Raw genomic sequence first — 18,636 nt, 5'->3', positions numbered from 1 at the left:
TTAAAACAACAACAACAACAAAACAAAACAGAAAACAAGTGCTGGTGAAGAAGTAGAGAAACTGGAATCCTCATGCATTGCTGGTGGGAATGTAAAATAGTGCAGCTGCTATGAGAAAGCTTGGCAGTTCCTCAAAAAGTGAAACATAGAATAACCGTTTAATCCAGCAATTCCACTACTGGGTATGTATCCAAAGGAAATGAGATCAAGTTGAGGGATTGGAGGCAGAGCAGGAGGGCGGAATAGAAGGCTCCACCAATCGTCTCCCACCCCTCCCCTGGCAAGGACATTAATTTAACAACTATCTACACACACACACACACACAAAACACCTTCATGTGAATCAAAAGTCGGGTGAGCACTCACAGTACCTGGTTTTAACTTCATAACACTGAAAGAGGCACTGAAGAGGTAGAAAAAACACTCCTGAATCACCAATACCACCCCCCACCCCGGTGCAGCCATGGCAGGGTACAGAGAGCATTTCTGTGCCCTGGGGAGAGGGAGATCCAGCAATTGTGAGGCATTGAACTCAGTGCTGCCCTTGTTACAGCAGAAAGCAAAAGTGGACCAAATTCAGCTGATGCCTGCTCATGGATGGAGCATTGAAACCAGCACTAGCTAGAAAGGAATCACTAATCCCAGCAGTCCACAAGCCTCACCACCATGAGCTAAAGTGCTCTGAGGTCCTAAATAAACTGGAAAGGCAGTCTAGGCTACAAGGACTGCAGCTCCTAGGAGAGTCCTAGTGCTGAACTGGACTCAGAGACAGTGTACCAGGGGCGGTGTGTGTGTGTGGGGGGGGATGGGGGGGAGACACAACCTACTGAGACATCAGCCAGCGTGTCTAAGGAAGTGCTGGCATCACCCCTCCCTTAACCCCAGGCTGCACAGCCCATGGCTCCCAAAGAGGCCCCTTCCTTCTGCTTGAGGAGAGGAGAGGGAAGAAATGGGCAAAGCATTTGAATAGATATTTCTCCAAAGAAGACACAGCAAGATAGGGCATAGCAGGATAGGGCACCAGTCAGTCGTGAAGACATCGTTTCGGGCCTTAGCTCCCAGATGTTATTTCTAGACACACTCTAGGCCAGGAGGGAACCCAGTGCCTTGAAGGAAAGGATCCAATCCTGGCAGTATTCATCACCTGCTAACTGAAGAGCCCTTGGGCCCTGAATAACCCGCAGTGATACCTCAGGTACTATGTCAAGGATCTTGGGTGAGACTCTGAGACTGGCTGGCTTCAGGTAAGACTCAGCACATTCTCAGCTGTGGTGGCTTTGGGGTGAGACTCCATTTACTTGCGAAAAGCAGAGGGAAAAGGGGACTTTGTCTTGCATGTTAGATACCAGCGCAGCCACAGGGAGGTAGAGCAACAAGTGGGCACTTGGGGTTCCCGATTCCAGGACTTGGCTCTTAGATGGTATTTCTGGACCTGCCCTGGGCCAGAGGGGAGCCCACTGCCCTGAAGGGTGAGTGCCAGGCCAGGCAGCATTCACCGCAAGCTGACTGAAGAGCCCATAGGTCTTAAGCAAACATTGGTGGAGGTCTGGCAGTGCTCCCCATAGGCCTGTGGTGCTGATAGCCATGGATGAGGTCCCTCCTGCCTTTGGAAAGGGAAGCAAAGAGGGGGAGGGACTGTGTATTGTTTGAAAGCCAGCTCACCTACAGTGCAATACAATACCAGGTAGACGTCTAAGATTTTTGACTCTAGTCACTGGCTCCTGGATGGCACGTCTGGACCTGCTTGTGGACTGGAGGAACTAGCTGCACTGAAGGGAAGGTCACAGGCCTGTCTGGCTTTGCCACCGCCTGACTATAGAGCCCTAGGGCATAAGGCGAACATAGGTGGTAGCCAGGGAGTGGTTACAGCAGGCCTTGGGCCAGACTCAGAGTGGTGCTGGCTTCAGGTCTGACCCAGTGCAGTCATAGTGGTGGCTACAGGGCAGCTTGTGTCACTCCAGCCTCAGCTTCAAGTGGCTCAGAATAGAGAGAGAGAGAGAGAGAGAGTATCTTTGGGAGAAAATAAGGGAAGAAAACAAGAGTTTCTTCCTGGTAGTTCAGAGAATTCTCCTGGATCTTGTCCAAGACCATCACTCAGCCATAGCCACAAAAAGGAATGAAAAACAGGCAAATTTCTAGAGACAGAAAGTGGAATAGCTGTTACCCAGGGATTGGGAGAGGGGAGAATGGGGAGTTACTGTTCAATGGGTGCAGAGTTTCTGTTTGGGATGATGAAAACGTTTTGGAAATGAATAGTGGTGATGGTTGCACAACATTGTAAATGTACTTAGTGTCATTGAATAGTACATATAAAATGGTTAAAATAGTAAATTTTGACCTGTATGTTTTATCGCAATAAAAATATATCAGTATATATGGGTGAAGCTCTAAAAGTGCTGGAAAAAGACAGTGAATTCAAAAAAATGTAGTCTTGACCTGAGTGATGCCTGAGTATGACATAAAACCAGCAGCTACAAGATAAAAAGTCTAGTGTATTTGAGTACATATGAGTAAAATTACTTAAACAACCAAAACAAACATCCCATTGAAACAATGTCAAACTGGGTAAAAATCTTTGTAACACATGATAAAAGGTTAATTTCTTTAATATGCAAAGAGAACTTACAAATTATTAAGAAAAAATAGAGACAAATGAAAGGTAAAACCAGCATAGAAAGAAAAAACATATAAATGGCCAAGAAATGTATTAAGATTTTAAAGCTCAGAAATTGATAAATGCAAATCAAAATAATAATATATATTTTTGCTTATCTATCCACCATAGATTAGTAAGACCAATAATATCTAGTTTTTACAAGGGCATGAGTAAAGTGGCACTCTTGCTTTTGGTTCTAGTGTAAATTAGCATCACCATTTTAGAGAACCATTTGACAGTATCTACCAAAGTTACATATCTCTTGTATAAGTATGCCCTGTGGAATACTATTTAGCCATAAAAAGAATGAAATTATGTCTTTTCCAGGAACATGGGTGGAACTGGAGGTCATTATCTTAAGTGAAACAAGTGTAAAGATTTTATTGACACACACACAACACATAATGGATATTCATGCAGTACTGTTTGTTAATAGCAAAAACATTTAGAAACAATCTAAATGTCTACCAGTAGGAGACTGGTCAAATAAATTTTGGCACATCCACACAGTGGAATACTTTGTAGTTATTAAAAAGAATGAGGTAGCTTTCTATATACTAATATGAAATATGTCAAAGACATACTGTCAAAGGGAAAAAGCTGGATATAGAACCATATGTTTACTAATTCCATTTTTGTGTATTTATTCGAGAAAGAGAGAGAGCAATAGAATACATACTTTCATAAGCAAAAATCATTTCTTAAAGAGTTCAAATAATACTGGTTATCTCCTGAGAATAGGTGAGTGAGTTGGTGGAAAGGGCTGGACCTGGGAAGGCAAGGAGGGGAGCTTTCATTTTTACCTGGTACCTTTGTGTACTATTTGAATTTTTAAATTATTAATGTGTATAGCTTTTGTAATAAAAAAGAAACTATAAAGAATGTTTGAAAGATGACACTAGTATTATACCATGAGACACTGCATTATATCATTTTGTAACTATTTTTATCTTTCAGTTGAGAATCATGAAAGGAAAGAAAAAGTTTGGAATCGGATCAGGTTTCAAAATCTAGCTTACTCATGCTAGTGAATCTCTCTGATTTTCAGTCTAGTTATCTATAAATAGGGGATAATAAGGTTCACTTTGTGAGATTCTTATTAGGATTAGCTGTACCATATAAAATGCCCAGGCACAGTGCTTGGTACAGAGTTAAATGAACACTATTATTATTATTATTATTATATTATACATATTATTATTAATGCTATGTCATGAAAAACATGGTATTCCTCTCAAAATGAACCACTTTGTTTGTGATTACCAATTAATTTGTCTTCCCTAGTGATTCTTGTCCTTCACATTTCAAATATTACCTGCGTTGTCAGAAGGGTACCAGGTATATTTCATATGACCATGTTAGTGACTACTGGAAGAATACTGGCACTAGCACTAAACAATTAGCTGAGAACACTGAACTGGTATTTTATATCAATAGTAGTGTAGACATACAGCAGAAGACATGTAACATAAGTGGATATTATATGAAACATGAGCATACATGAGTGCACAAATATTTAAGCTGCATGTTAGGGCACTAATTAAGAAATGTGAAATTACTGAAAGTCTAAGGAGCTCCAATGTAGAAAGTAATACGGCAAGTGTATATCATCTCTAAAATGGACTGTGGGAAAAATAAAAAAAAAATCATCTCTTATAAAATTAGGTACCCAAGTTCAATTTGCAGCAACTGTTACTGCCCCAAATTACTTTGTCATCAGGCACAGCTCATAAGACTTGTTCAAAAACAACATACACTCAAGAGTTTCATCAGCTTAGAAAGACCCACCACAAAATCCCAAGATAATAAGGCCTTTCTTAAAAGCCATTTTAAATGTAATATCCTGATAAGCTCAATGAAAACTGCTAGAAACTTTACCACATGATTAGGAATTAGAAATAACAGAAAAACGTGAATGGGGTAATTATAATTGGACAGATAATTTTATAGGTACATAGAGACAATTTAGAGTTCAGTATATTATGCAGCAACCTAAACAATTAGCTGGTTGAAGAGTTTCACTATTGGGAATACATATGCTCCTAGCAGTTCTCAAGAAATTTATTGCATAGCACTGGAATAACTAAACATTTATAAGAGAGAATAATTTTACTGTATTATACTATAGAGTTATTGTAATTTCAGGCAATTACAAGGTGAAAGGACAAATTGTGTCGCCTGAGAAAAAGGAAGAAAAGAGTAGAATTTGTACTGTTCCATGTGCATACCACTTATGTCTGATGAAATAATTATACTTGGAATTGTATTGTATTATAAGATAATATTCTTAATGCTAGCCTAGAGTAGAAACAGCTATTCAATTTATTTAAAAGACATATTCTCATTTATAAGTCTTGGGGAACATTTACCAAATAACCCTTTAATTAAAACTACACTAAATTTTAAGGCTAAAACTGTTTACATAATAAAATCTTAAGGCTAGGGCTGTTTATAATTTTTTTTTTTTCTGAGTGAAAAGAACACTGAGATTGTTTTACCTGCAACCGCTCTTGGACCTGGCAATCGGTCATTTCCAGTTGTGTCCTGTGGATATGCACAGCTGTAATTCATGGAGGTCAACAGTGTGTCTATTTGAGATGTTCGAATATCTTCTGGACAATACATGGGTAGGAAAGCAACATCGATTGCTATCTCATGGTTCAGACCTGTTAAAGAAAGTTCACACATTATTAAAAGTTCAGTGGGTTAGCATGTGGTGCTGATGCCGAGTTTGCTGGTTTGATCCCAACATGTTCCAGATAGCTTTAGATCTGAAAAAACCTGTGTTTGAAAACTGGAGACTAAACTCCTAGTATTGCAATTTATGAATACATGGTATTTGTTGAAAGAGTAGACACTCCAGTGCAACCTTTCACCACTGCTGGAAATAACAGTTCAAAAGGTTTCCCCTACTGATGGAAGATTGGAATCTTACTATCCAAAGGACAGCATGGTCACACAAATGACATGTAGAGTGTTTCCTTGGTCATTTAGGACAGGTGCTATTCCGGGGCAGGGGAGTTTGGAGATGACTATTCGTTCCCTTATTGCCATTTGGACTCAAAGATATCTGACTAATGCAAGGTCAGGGATGATATAGTAGCTAGATCTCATCCGTCCTCAAATATACAAGACAAGGTTCGCACACTCACCATCAGGGCCATAAAAGGTTGTGCTAGAAAAAGGGCTAAGAGGGAAGAACTAAAGTGAATCCTGACCTTTGGCTGTCATCTTTTTATGTGGGTCAATGTCAGTTGGGGTAGATAAAAAAGACTTCCTAGAGGAAGAAAAGAATTCTAGCTATGTACTAAAGGATGAATAGCATTTAAATAAACAGAGAAGAGGGCATTTTAGGCATGGCAGGGAATAGCACAAGCCAAAGGTGTAGACCAGAGTAAAAGACCATCTTGGCTAGAGTAAGCGTAAACAAACACACAGAGCACAGCTTCAAAACTATGAATTCTATTTAGTGACCCAAATCAGAAACCTGAGAGTTATCCTTAACTCCTCCTTTTCGGTCTTTCCCAGATATTTAGTCAGCTAGATTCTATGACCTTAATATCTCTCTGATTCATCCCTTATAGTGATTCCTAAGTACTGAGTATGGGCCAATGATGGGTAACCAAATCCTTCTCGTTAAGCTGCAAATCAATCCAGAAATGCAAGTTCTTTGCTTTTTATGGGGAAATGACATTAAATCTCATATATTTAACTTAACATACAGCTAAAGGCCACTTAGCGCTTTCTAAGGATTACTAAAATTTGGTAGCCATAAATTGAAATAATCATGTTATCTAGAATTTTCCAAGAATTCTAATTCAGTATTATAAGAAGCATAGCCACGTCACAACTCCTAGCAATGCTGCAAGACTCATATGAATGTGCACATGCTGGTATCTTATATCCTTGATTCTAAGACTAAATTTAACTTAGATATATATCATTAATTTTATTTTTTAATAAAAAGAAAACACTGCATTAAATTTACCATTGACCGTTCCAACTTGCAAACAAAAAAGGAAGGATGCCTTAAAACTGAGAAACTATCAGAATTTGGAAATCCTGATATTTTCAAGAAAGTAGACATATTAGTGTGTTATTGATATTATTTTGAGTTGCTTTCTACATTATAAAATATTGGGAGTAGAGCTTCAGCATTATCAGTGAATTTTTTACTGAGCTGTTTGATTAAAACTAGAGTTCTGGTCGGGTGTGGTGGCTCATGCCTGTAATTCCAGCACTTTGGGAGGCCGAGGTGGGTGGATTGCTTGAGTCCAGGAGTTCGAGACCAGCCTGGGTAACATGGTGAAACCCTGTCTCTACCAAAAATACAATAATAAAAATAATAACTGGGTGTGGTGGTGTGCGCCTGTGGTCCCAGCTACTTGGGAGGCAGAGGTGGGAGGATTGCTTGAGCCCGGGAGGTGGAGGTTGCAGTGAGCCAAGATTGTAGCACTGTACTCCAGCCTGGGCAACAGAGTGGTAACCTGTCTCAAAAACAAACAAACAAACAAACAAACAAACCACTAGAGTTCAAAGTACAAACGTTTAAGTCAATAGGCCTCAGGGCTTTTGTGCTTGCTGCCTCTGTGCCTAGAATGGTTTTTCCCCAGATAACTACATCTCCCCCAAGTTTCTGAAATGTTCCTTTCTCCAGGAGACCTCTGCTATTTAAAATTTAACCCTTTCCTACTACAACACTTTCCAGCACCTGTTTTTCTTAGCACTTATCACCATCTCACTCTACTACAAGCTCTCATAGGGCAGGGTTTTTATCTGTTGTGTTCACTAATGTGACTTCAGCACTTAGAAGAGTGCTAGGCACACAGTAGCTGCCCAGTAAATATTTCTTAAATTGAGTAAATAAATACACATGTGTGCATTTTACCTATAATTTTTCAATAATAGAATTTAAGACATTTGTGCAAGAGCATTCAAATATAAGTTCATCCATATTCCCATTACCAAGAAATGAACACAAATATCCTGTACAAACCCCAAGAAAAATGGCTATGATGTAAGGAGAGCTGTTAAAATAATCTTTTCTAGATTTTTTTGTCAAAGTATTTTTTGGAAAAATTTGTCATATGGTTTGTTCTTTTCCTTTACCGTAAAATGCATTTAAAAGATAATTTCAAATTTTAATAACATTAACTGTGATATCAAGGTAATTTAATATACTATAGATACGCTGAAATAATAAGGCTTTACTCATCTTTATATTTTCTTTTATTAAAGCAGCCAAGTAGACCAATATAATTCTTTCCCTCCTTGGTATTAGCCTGTGGGCTCAGGATCAATTATTTCTACTTCTGGGGTATGCTACCTTCCTTGCTGAAAGCCTTTTTGAAAGATTAGCTGAGTAGCACTGGGTTCCCTCAATGTTGATTCCCTTACCAATTAATGCTATTATTGGGGTTTATATCTTTTGACTTTTAAAAGACAAATAGGCAGCCTTCAGAGACTTGGAAAGGCTGGCTGGATTATGTTCCTAATTATCTAAGTCAAATGAAAATTGAGGAGATGACTTTTAAACTTTGATTGACTCATCAGATTTCATGGGTAACCAAATTAGTGTTAGTAGAGCCAATGATACACTATTGTGTATCTTAATGATCTGTAAGTTCAATTAAAACTTTTGAAAGGTGTGTTCTTATATTTCAGGTGAAAAATAATTCTTAAAATTGGGAAAGACTGACCAACAGATTTTACATTTTGTACTTGGGCTAAGGGCACTGAAAATCTAGTTCGTTACTTCATCTCAATATATTCTATTTAAAGTGTGTGATCTTACATGGTAGGCAATGAGCTGAGGTTTTAATGGTTATAATCTATTGATTTGAGGCAAGTGAGATGGCCCAGCAAGAATTTAAAGGCAAGAACCAGTGCTTCTAGGATAGGTTTCTGACATTGCCATGGTACCAAGCTGGTGGTTGCTGAGAGCCATTAGGACTGTGGGAAAGAAGGAAGACTAATAATTCTATTCAATGTTTTCAATAACAATTCACCCTTCCAGTCAGAGGTAATGACCAAGTAACAGAGTTGTGGTCCAAATAACATTTTTGGCTCCAGGAATAAGGCACTTCAAAATTACGAGGTCTTCTAGAGACTTGCAAGATATTGCAGAGGTATAATAAACCACTAGAAGATAGTATCACTAAATTAGACAATCTTCATGCTTGGAGAACCTTAAACATCATACAGATTTATCTGCCTGAATTGGTTTAGGCAGTCTCAACTAAGAACAGGGGTCTAGAACAGGGTAAACTATGACCGGGGGGTTGGGGGAGGGGGTGGAAATTCAGCCTGCCCCTGGTTTTGTACATTCCATGAGCTAAGAATAGCTTTCACATTTTTAAATAGTTAAAAAAATCAAAAGAACAATATTTTATGATACATGAAAATATGAAATTCAAATTTTAGTGTACATAAAGTTTTTTTCAAACAGCCATGTGCATTCATTTGCATATTGTCAATGGTTGCTTTCACATTAATACAGCAGAGCTGAGTAGTTGCAAAAGAAATTGTATGGCCTGTAAAACCTCAAACATTTACTACTTGGCCCTTTACTGACCAAGTGTGCCACCTTGTATAAGATACACTTAAAGTCATCTTTCAGTTTTGGGATTCTACCTTTCAACAAATAGCACAGTAATAAGAGATTTATTCCTCTCTTCTGAGTTTATTGCTCATGTCCATGCTTAAAATATATATGAACCATTTGTCTGGTCTTATAATACAACTTGGGTTCATACTTTTCTAAAAGATATGACAAATTCAGCACTGTCACATCCGATATTCAGCTCTCATTCTAAGTAGTACTTGAAGTATAGATGTAGATAGTACCTGAATGAATGAAGATATGAATACAGATAGTACTTGAAGTATAGACAATGTATACTTCAAGTACTACTTAAAGCATAGAGTTTTCAACCTTTAATCTACTCCTTTACACCTGATGGACAGGATGTGTTCTTGGCAGTGGAATTATCTCTGTGGCAATAAGTCTCTCTTATGAATGGAGTAGACTGAATGGGCTGCTTCTCTAGTGTGTATCAGAATTCTAAGAAGTAGGAATAGGCCTCTTGTAGATGACTTTGATAAGCTACCCCCTCCCACCGAGACTGTATGAGAATCACTGGATCCAGTACCATTTATCCCAGCCCTCTAGGTTTTATCCCTCCATTAAGTTAAACTATTAGAGCGTGAAGTACTTGGATTATATAATAATAAAGTGAAAATATATTCCTTTATAGAAATGCTTTATTAAGGTATGACTAATGATTATACTGATTAGGTATATTAAAATGTTGATGCACGAAGCAACTATCTGAAGATCATTTACATAACTTTTTAAAAAAACTACAGTTGAAGTTTCATACAGTTAATTCGGACTTGAATTTTGTTTGAGAGAAAAAATAGCAGGGTTCCTCTATGTAATTGTTTTCTCTGCAACAGATGATACGTTTAGAGAATCAGGAGATCTGATTTATAATCATGGCCTGGCTTTTACCTAGCCAAGGGTAAGACTAGAAGATATCCAAGGTTTGTTTGGTTTTAAAATTAAATATCTCATCAGAAAAAAAACAATAACAATTGAAAAAAAAAAAACCCTTCTCCCTTCCTGCCAGAAAGCACAGAAAATTATTGCCAATGGTAGAAATTTGGTTATTTGCAAGTACCTAGTAATACCTACTTTTGCGCTTCCTTTAAAATGTTCTGTTTTGTTTCATTCATAAATGGCTTATTTTCCACTGTCTTTTAACTATGTAAACCATACTTGGAAAAATGTAGGATATAAAATTTATATAGAAACAGCATACTTCTAACATGGATTAAAGCTAGTGGGAGGAATGATGAAATTTCCTTCTTCACATTTGATTCCTGCTCTTAGCTGACTCATAGCCAAAGCTACACAAATTTATAATTACATGTAATACAGCTGAGAAGTCTTAGTCAAGCTGTTTTAATAGAGCACTAACATGTTAAAAGTAAGAAAAAAATTCAAGTTCTATGTTTCTAGATGAACTCATCATTTCCATGGTTACCTTTTTAATTTTTAATGTTGTGGGTATATAAGTGTATATATTTATGGGGTACATGAGATATTTTGATATAGGCATGCAATATGTAAAAATCACATCAGGGTAAATGGGGTATCCATCTCCTCAAGCATTTATCCTTTGAGTTACAAATGATGCAATTATACTCTTTTAGTTATTTTAAAATGTACAATTAAATTATTATTGACCATAGTCACCTTATTCTGCTACAAAATTGTAGGTCTTACGCATTATTTCTAAATTTTTGTATCTATTATCCATGATTATTATTTTTTTGATGGATGGGAAATTTTGCTATAATTTTTGTTCCCTAGATACAAAACTAAAGTTGATGAACTACTTGAAGAGACCAAGTAATACATTCTAGTGAAAAAGCATTTGAAACTTAGGTCTGTGATTGTCTAATGGAGTCAGTGAGAATTCAGACTTTTCATAGATTACATACATACTCACATGTCTGTACATATTTATATGTGAGGAGGTAGGGAAGAGGGATTGGGAGAGAATAAAAGGGAAAAGAGAATCTTGATAAAGGTCAAGGCAATTCATCCAAGGACTGCAAATGTTAGCACCACGCTCTCACCAACTGAGCTAACCGGCCAAGATGTCCAGTACTACAAATGTAAAAATCCATGAACTACATTATTCGGTCATTAAGTTAATTTGCTAATAATTTTTTCCTCATTCCTTCATTTTAAGGTAATAAGACCTGGTACTAAGATCTTCCTGTGAAATACAAATGCATTGTTTTGCTTGACTCTGAGAGTCATTTTAACTAAGATTTTGTTTTAGAATTTTTTTGTGTGTAAATTTTTCATCTTTCCGAAACAAAAAAAAAAAACTAAGTTTTAAAATGTTTTGACTTCTTTAAATTTCTGTAAGTTCCATAGCTACCTCTCAATTTTGAAAAACCTGGGTAAATCAGCTTATTTTCTCTTATCAGACAAGGGCAGTTTTTTCAATAACTTATTTCTAGTCAACCTCAGTTACTTGATTATTTTATTATCTTGAGGGTCTAAACAGACCTTTTTTTCTTCCTTTTTTTTTTTTTTTGGTAGGGGCTTCTTTTGATTAGTATTCTTTCTCCTCTTTAACTTACACTTTACCCTTCAGTGGTTCCGATGAATGAAGAAGCAGAGAATATAGGCAAGAAAGTGGTGGCTAAGGGAGAACAGAAGCTGCCTTAGAAGCTGACTGATAGTCAGGAATGAGGAAAATTCCCTTAGTTCTCCCATTCTTCTCTCGCCAGATACCTTCCAAGGACTTGCCAATGTTTAGAAGCACACAATTAGAGCTTCATTTATTCCATAATTGGTGCTCCATTCCTTTTGTTGGAGCCAAACAAAAACTTCCCTTGGGCTTAATGTTTTTGTGGGAGGGGCTTAAATTTTTAAAGCGAAATAGTAGGTATATTTAAAATATGTTAAATTAATGATATGCAAAAAGAACAGTGAACTTACCTAGTATGGTTACTTCAAAATGTCCAAGGCTTCGGGCGCTCTTAAAATCATCAAGTTTTGGGGGCCTTCCTTCTGGTGGTACATATTTCGCAGGCTGAGAATTATACTGGTCACTAAGAAACTTTCTGTGTTCAAACATAAATTTCCGTGGAATACTTTCAGGATAAACACGGCTGTAGTGTAGGTGATCTATTAAGCCAAACTTTTTCTCTCTCCACAGCTGACTCTCCCACCTATCACTTATAGTTTTTCTGGCTTTCCCTTGCAGATTAGCATTTATATTTGCTCGACCTGTTAAAGACACAAGGAGATAGACACAATTGATCTATAAACTAATCAAATCAAGTCATTCACTGCAAAAAAAAACCACACATTAATGAGGAAGAGTTTAAGTAACATTAAAAATCAAACCACTACCTACAAAATATAAAATGAATATACAAAAGAAAATTCTTATTAAAGTGAGGAACTAAATTCACTTTCAAAATAAACTTTTACCGTAAAATACTAAAGTGACATTGTTTTCTCTGTTGTTGTAATTATGTAGATTTGTAATTACGTTCTTTCTACTTTTTCTAAATGTTCTAAAAGCTCTTAAACATATGTTCTTTTTATATTCAGTGACAAATTCAAATTAAATTAAATTCATGATTAGAGATCACTCACTCTTGGTGGAAATTTGAGCCTAAAATAAACTTTTGTTAATCTCTGCTAAAAGTAAACTGAACAAATACAGTCTCCTTCTTCATTACTTCTCTCCTTCAGAGGGGCCATTTAGGGGTTGGGCATGGTGGCTCATGCCTGTAATCTCAGCATTTTTGGAGGCTGAGGCAGGAGGATCACTTGAAGCCAGGAGTTCAAGACCAGCCTAGTTAACATAGAGAGACCTGTCACTAAAAAACAAAACAAAACAAAAAAACCAAAAAAAAAAAACAAGAAAAAAAAACAAAACAAAAACGAAAAACAAAGGGGCCATTTATTTATTATATATGACACTCCTTTATGGAAAACAAAAAGGGAACGAAATTGAGATGAAAGACCCCCTCAATTTTTGTTGTTCTCTATCATCAAATCAAATTATCATTTATGTATGATTAAAATCTAACACATTAAGTTTCTAATGCAGAATATAATTTATCCCTTATTGATATGGTTAGGCTTTGTATTCCTACCCAAAACTTATCTTGAGTCCCCAGGTGTTGAGGGAGAGACCTAGTGAGAGGTGATTGGATCATGGGGGTGGTTCTCCCATGCTGTTCTCATGAAAATGAGATAGTTCCCACGAGATCTGATGGTTTTATAAGTGTTTGACATTTCTTCCTGCACACATTGTCTCTCTTGCCTGCCACCATATAAGACGTGCCTGGCATGATTGTAGGTTTCCTGAGGCCTCCCCAGCCATGTGGAACTGTGAGCCAATTAAACCTCTTTTCTTCGTAAATTACCCAGTCTCAGGCAGTCATTTATAGCAGTGTGAGAACAGACTAATACACGTATACATTATGACATTCGTTCATCCATTCAACAAACAATTACAGAACACCTATTATGTGCCAGACATTGTGTTAAGGAATTTGGTACAAGTAATACTTTGATTAAATAATGTACCATGGTAGAATCGGAAACACTGTAAAATCAGAAAAAAAAATTGATTTTGGAACAACAGTTCTGCTAGCTGAGATAGGCTGACAGCTTAAGAGTTTACCAAAGTTGCTGACTTTCTTTCTTGCCTATGTCCTGGTATTCTTATCCTAGCATAAAAAACCTTGCTGAGGCAGAAGGTGGCTGCAATAGCAAGGTTTCAGTATGGTTAAAATACTACTTCTGATTATCAGACTTTATTACATATTCCCAGAGTACTTGCTTGGTTTCTTAAGCCTAGCTGGAGACTTATTGAAAATGTATTACAAGGTAAAGTATTAGTTTGAGTTGTAAGGGAAGATGAAGAAGTTGAACACATACTTCTTACCAGGAATTTAAAATATTGCAATACTACAAAAGAGTTTTTTAAACTAAAAATTCAGTTGATGAACACACAAATTCCTATAATAATGATTGATAACAAAAGGGATAAAAAACTTAGTCACACACGAAAAGATCAAAAGGAATAAATCAAAGCTGAGAAAAAGAGTTAGTAGGACTAAATTGATGATTGGGAAATGACTTCATCTTTTGTATCTTCTAGAAGTAAATCTCTTCTCAAACTAATAAAAGTACATAATCAGAACAACAATTAGTAGCTATTGCAATGATCTAACCCATATTAAACATTCCTGCTTGACTTATTTTAGAATACAGCATGCAAAAGAAAAAGTGATATGCTATTCTAATTTTTAAAAATTAAGTATTTACATCTACCTTATAGAAAACAATTATATGATTGATCTGTTTGGAAAAAGCCAGAATATTTTCTATGCATATTTTCTTATTTGAGTGTTAATATTAAGGACTGCCAAGGTACAAATGTTTATATGAAAAATTCCTCTAAAGAAACATGCTTTATTTTTTTATTTTAGTAACTGGGGACTACAATTACCTACCTCAATTGTATCTTCATAATTAAGTAATACAAATCAGTATGAAATCAATACAGGAGACATTGGCAGTTATTGGTTGTGAATAGTAACAAATCAAAGACAATAAATAGGAAAGAGACAAAATATATCTAGAGCTCAGGTTTTTCTAAAAATAAGATGGAAAATCATGAACTAGTTTTTTTTGAATATTAATAAAATTACTATATGAAACATGTTATATTTTAAGCTTAATGCATAGCTAAAATATAGGTTAATTACTTAGCAAAATTATATTTTTATATTTTACAATTATAATTTTCATTCTATTATTTCAATTATCTATTTTACTCTTATTTCTGGTGAGATTGGTTCAATGTTTTAATGAGGAACATTTACATTTAGGTCGTAAGGTTAAAAAAAGAATGCAGTTCAAACGTATGTACGTAGGCATCGTGAATTTTTTTTTTAAATCTACTCCAAGCATTTCATTACGTGGATAAGAGTGGTAGGTTGATAGAGGCAGGCTCACGCCTGTAATCCCAGCACTTCAGGAGCCTGAGGCAGGAGGACTGCTTGAGGCCGGGAGTTCAAGACCAGCTTAGGTAACATAGGGAGACCCTGTCTCTACAAAGTAATAATAATAATAATAGTAATAGTAATAAAATAAGCAGGCATTATGGCACACACCTATGGTTCCATCTACTTGGTAGCTGAGGTGGGAGGATTGCTTGAGCCTGGGAGGTCGAGGCTGCAGTGAGCCATGATCGTGCCATTGCACTCCTGCCTGGATGACATAGCAAGACTCTGTCTCAAAAAAAAAAAAAATGTAATGGGATGTATGGAGGCATGGGGGAGGGAAAGGAGCTACTTTCTTTGCCTCTCCTTCTTGCTAGCAAGTATATAACGGACTTTTTAAAGACTAGTGAAAGTCAGAGGCTACCTGTAATGCCTTGTGTTACTGTTAACTTTTCAAGTGTATGTCTGAGTTACTAGATATAAGCACAAACAAACCACACAAACATATTAATTGTGTATTCACAAAATGAATGACTTTTGAATTTACAAGCATCTAAAAAGCCAAAGTTATCATGAAACTACCTGGGAATACATTAGTGACCATGTTGACACATATAGATCTAATTCATTCATTAAAACTGCAATATAATATTACAGTATATTAATATGCTATATTTATAATCATCTGTTAATTAACATTTAGCTTTTAATTTTCCCTATTATAAATAATTTTCCAGTGAAAATCTTGGAATGTGTCTTCCTATGTGGCCAAAGACATAAATGGAATTTCTAGGTCACAGAGTGTAACACATTCCCAACAAATTAGGTATTGTCAAATTATTCTCAAATGGTGGTTGCAGCATATCTATTCTAACAAAGTGGGGAGGTGCATGAGTCTCTCCCTAATACAAATGCCTACTCCAGCTGGAATACTGAGTTTGTCAAAAAGAGACAAGGAGTAGGTAATTGAGGGATCCTTGACTCTTCTCATTTCTCTACTTTAAATTTTTATCAATATCCAGTTATAGTTGATTGTATCAGAAATCTACTTTTCTGATATAAGTGTAGACACTCAAGTTTTCTTTTGTATGGTATGTGCTTTTCCATCTTTTTATATCATATCTTTACATTTAAATTGGTTTTCTTTTAGATGGTATATGGTTGGGTCTTACTTTTGTATCCAATATGATAATCTCCACTTTTTACTTGGGGTATTTATGCTATTTATTTTAATATAAAGGCATACCTTGTTTTAATGCACTTTATTGTGCTTCACAGATATTGCATTTTTTTGCAAATTGAAGGTCTGTGGGAACCCTGTGTTGAGCAAGTCTATTGGTGACATTTTTTAAACAGCATATGTTCATTTTGTGTCTCTGCGTCACGTTTTGGTAATTATCACAATATTTCAAACTTTTAAATTATTATATATATTATGGTGACCTGTGATTACTGATCTCTGATGCTACTATTGTAATTGTTTTGAGGCGCCACAAACCACACCCATGTGAGATAGCAAACTTAATTGAAAAATACTGTGTGTGTTCTAACTGCCCCAATTACTGGCCATTTCCCTGTCTATCCTCTTTTCCTCAAGTCTCCCTACTCCCTAAGACAAAATAATATTGAAATTAGGCCAATGAATAACCTTATAATGTTTTCTAAGTGTTCAAGTGAAAGGAGAGTCACACATCTCTCATTTCAAATCAAAAGCTAGAAACAATTTAGTTTAGTGAGGAAGGCATGTTAAAAAACAAGATAGGCTGAAAACTAAGGCCTTCTGAGCCAAACAATTAGCCAAGTTGAGAGTGCAATGTAAAAGTTCTTGAAGGAAAGTAAAAGTGCTATTCTAGTGAACACATGAATGATAACAAACTGAAACAGCCTTATTGCTGATCTAAAGAAAGTTTTGGTGGTCTGAATAGAATATCATGCTAGCCACAACAATATTCCCTAAGGCCAAAGCCTAATTCCTAGCAAGGCCCTAACCTAACTCTCTTCAATTCTATGAAGGCTAAGATAAGTGAGGAAGCTGGAGAAGAAAAGTTGGAAGCTAGCAGAGATTGGTTCATGAGGTTTAAGAAAGAAGCTATCTCCATAACATAAAAGTGCAAGGTGAGGCAGCAAGTTCTGATGTAGAAGCTGCAAGTTATTCAGAAAATCCAGCTAAGATAACTGATGAAGGTGGCTACACTGAACAACAGATTTTCAATGGAGATAAAATAGCTTTGTATTGGAAGAAGATGCCATCTAAGACTTTCATAGTTAGAGAGGAAAAGTCAATGCCTGGCTTTAAATCTTCAACGGGCAGGCTGACTCTCTTCTTAGGGGCTAATGCAGCTGATGACTTTAAGTTGAAACCAATGCTCATTTACCATTCCAAAAGTCCTGGGGCCCTTAAGAATTATGCTAAATCTACTCTGCCTGTGCTCTAGAAATGGAACAAAGCCTCAATGACAGCACATCTGTTTATAGTATGGTTTACTGAATATTTTAAGCCCACTATTGAGAACTACTGCTCAGATAAAAAGATTCCCCTCAAAATATTACTGCTTATTGACAATGCACCTGGTCACTCAGGAGCTCTGATGACCAGGAGCTCTGACGGAGTTCCATCAAGGAGTTCAATGTTGTTTTCGTGCCTGCAAACACAAAACCATTCAGAAGCCCATGGATCAAGGAGTAATTCTGACTTTCAAGTCTTAATTCTTAAGAAATGCATTTCATAAGGCTATAGCTACCATAGTGATTCCTCTGATGGATCTGGGCAAAAGTGAAAACTGAAAACCTCCTGGAAATTTGAAAACCTTCTGGAAAGGATTCACCATTCTAGATGCCATTTAAAGTATTTGTGATTTATGGAAGGAGGCCAAAATATCAACATGAACAGGAGTTTAGAAGAAATTGATTCCAAACCCCATAGATGACTTTGAGGTGTTCAACACTTTAGGGTAGGAAGTAACTGCAGAAGTGGTGGAAATGGCAGGAGAACTAGAATTAGAAGTGGAGTCTGAAGATGTTACTAAATTGCTGCAATCTCATCATAAAACTTGAATGGACGAAGAGTTGCTTCTTACAAATGAACAAAGGTGGTTTTTTTGAGATTGAATCTATTCCTGGTGAAGATGTCGTGAACACTGTTAAAATGAAAATAAAGAATTTAGAATATTACATAAGCTTAGCATAATAGATAAAGTAGTGTCAATTTTTGAAAGGAGTGACTCCAATTTTGAAAGAAGTTCTACTCTGGGTAAAATGCTGTCAAACAGCATCACATGCTACAGAGAAATCTTTCCTGAAAGGAAAAGTCAACTGATGTGGCAAAATTTATTGCTGTCTTATTTTAGGAAACTGCCAAAGCCGATTCCTCAGGGATCTAGAACTAGAAATATCATTTGACCCAGCCATCCCATTTCTAGGTATAT

The 18,636-nt window shown here is 36.4% G+C and overlaps 1 protein-coding gene across 2 annotated transcripts in view; it reads right to left on the bottom strand.

Annotated features, from left to right (window-relative positions):
• Positions 1 to 18,636, bottom strand: part of RADX (RPA1 related single stranded DNA binding protein, X-linked) — a 67,462-nt gene that overhangs the window by 4,955 nt on the left and 43,871 nt on the right. For both annotated transcript variants that reach the window (NM_018015.6, NM_001184782.2), the window contains 2 exons: positions 12,180 to 12,470; positions 5,155 to 5,322 (listed from right to left, as the gene is read on the bottom strand). In NM_018015.6, coding sequence (NP_060485.4) covers positions 5,155 to 5,322; positions 12,180 to 12,470 — 459 coding nt within the window. The remainder of the gene's footprint in view (positions 1 to 5,154; positions 5,323 to 12,179; positions 12,471 to 18,636) is intronic.

The sequence above is a fragment of the Homo sapiens genome, chromosome X (genome assembly GCF_000001405.40).
Source record: "Homo sapiens chromosome X, GRCh38.p14 Primary Assembly".
NCBI lineage: Eukaryota > Metazoa > Chordata > Mammalia > Primates > Hominidae > Homo > Homo sapiens.
This window is presented reverse-complemented; position numbering and strand designations above follow the sequence as displayed.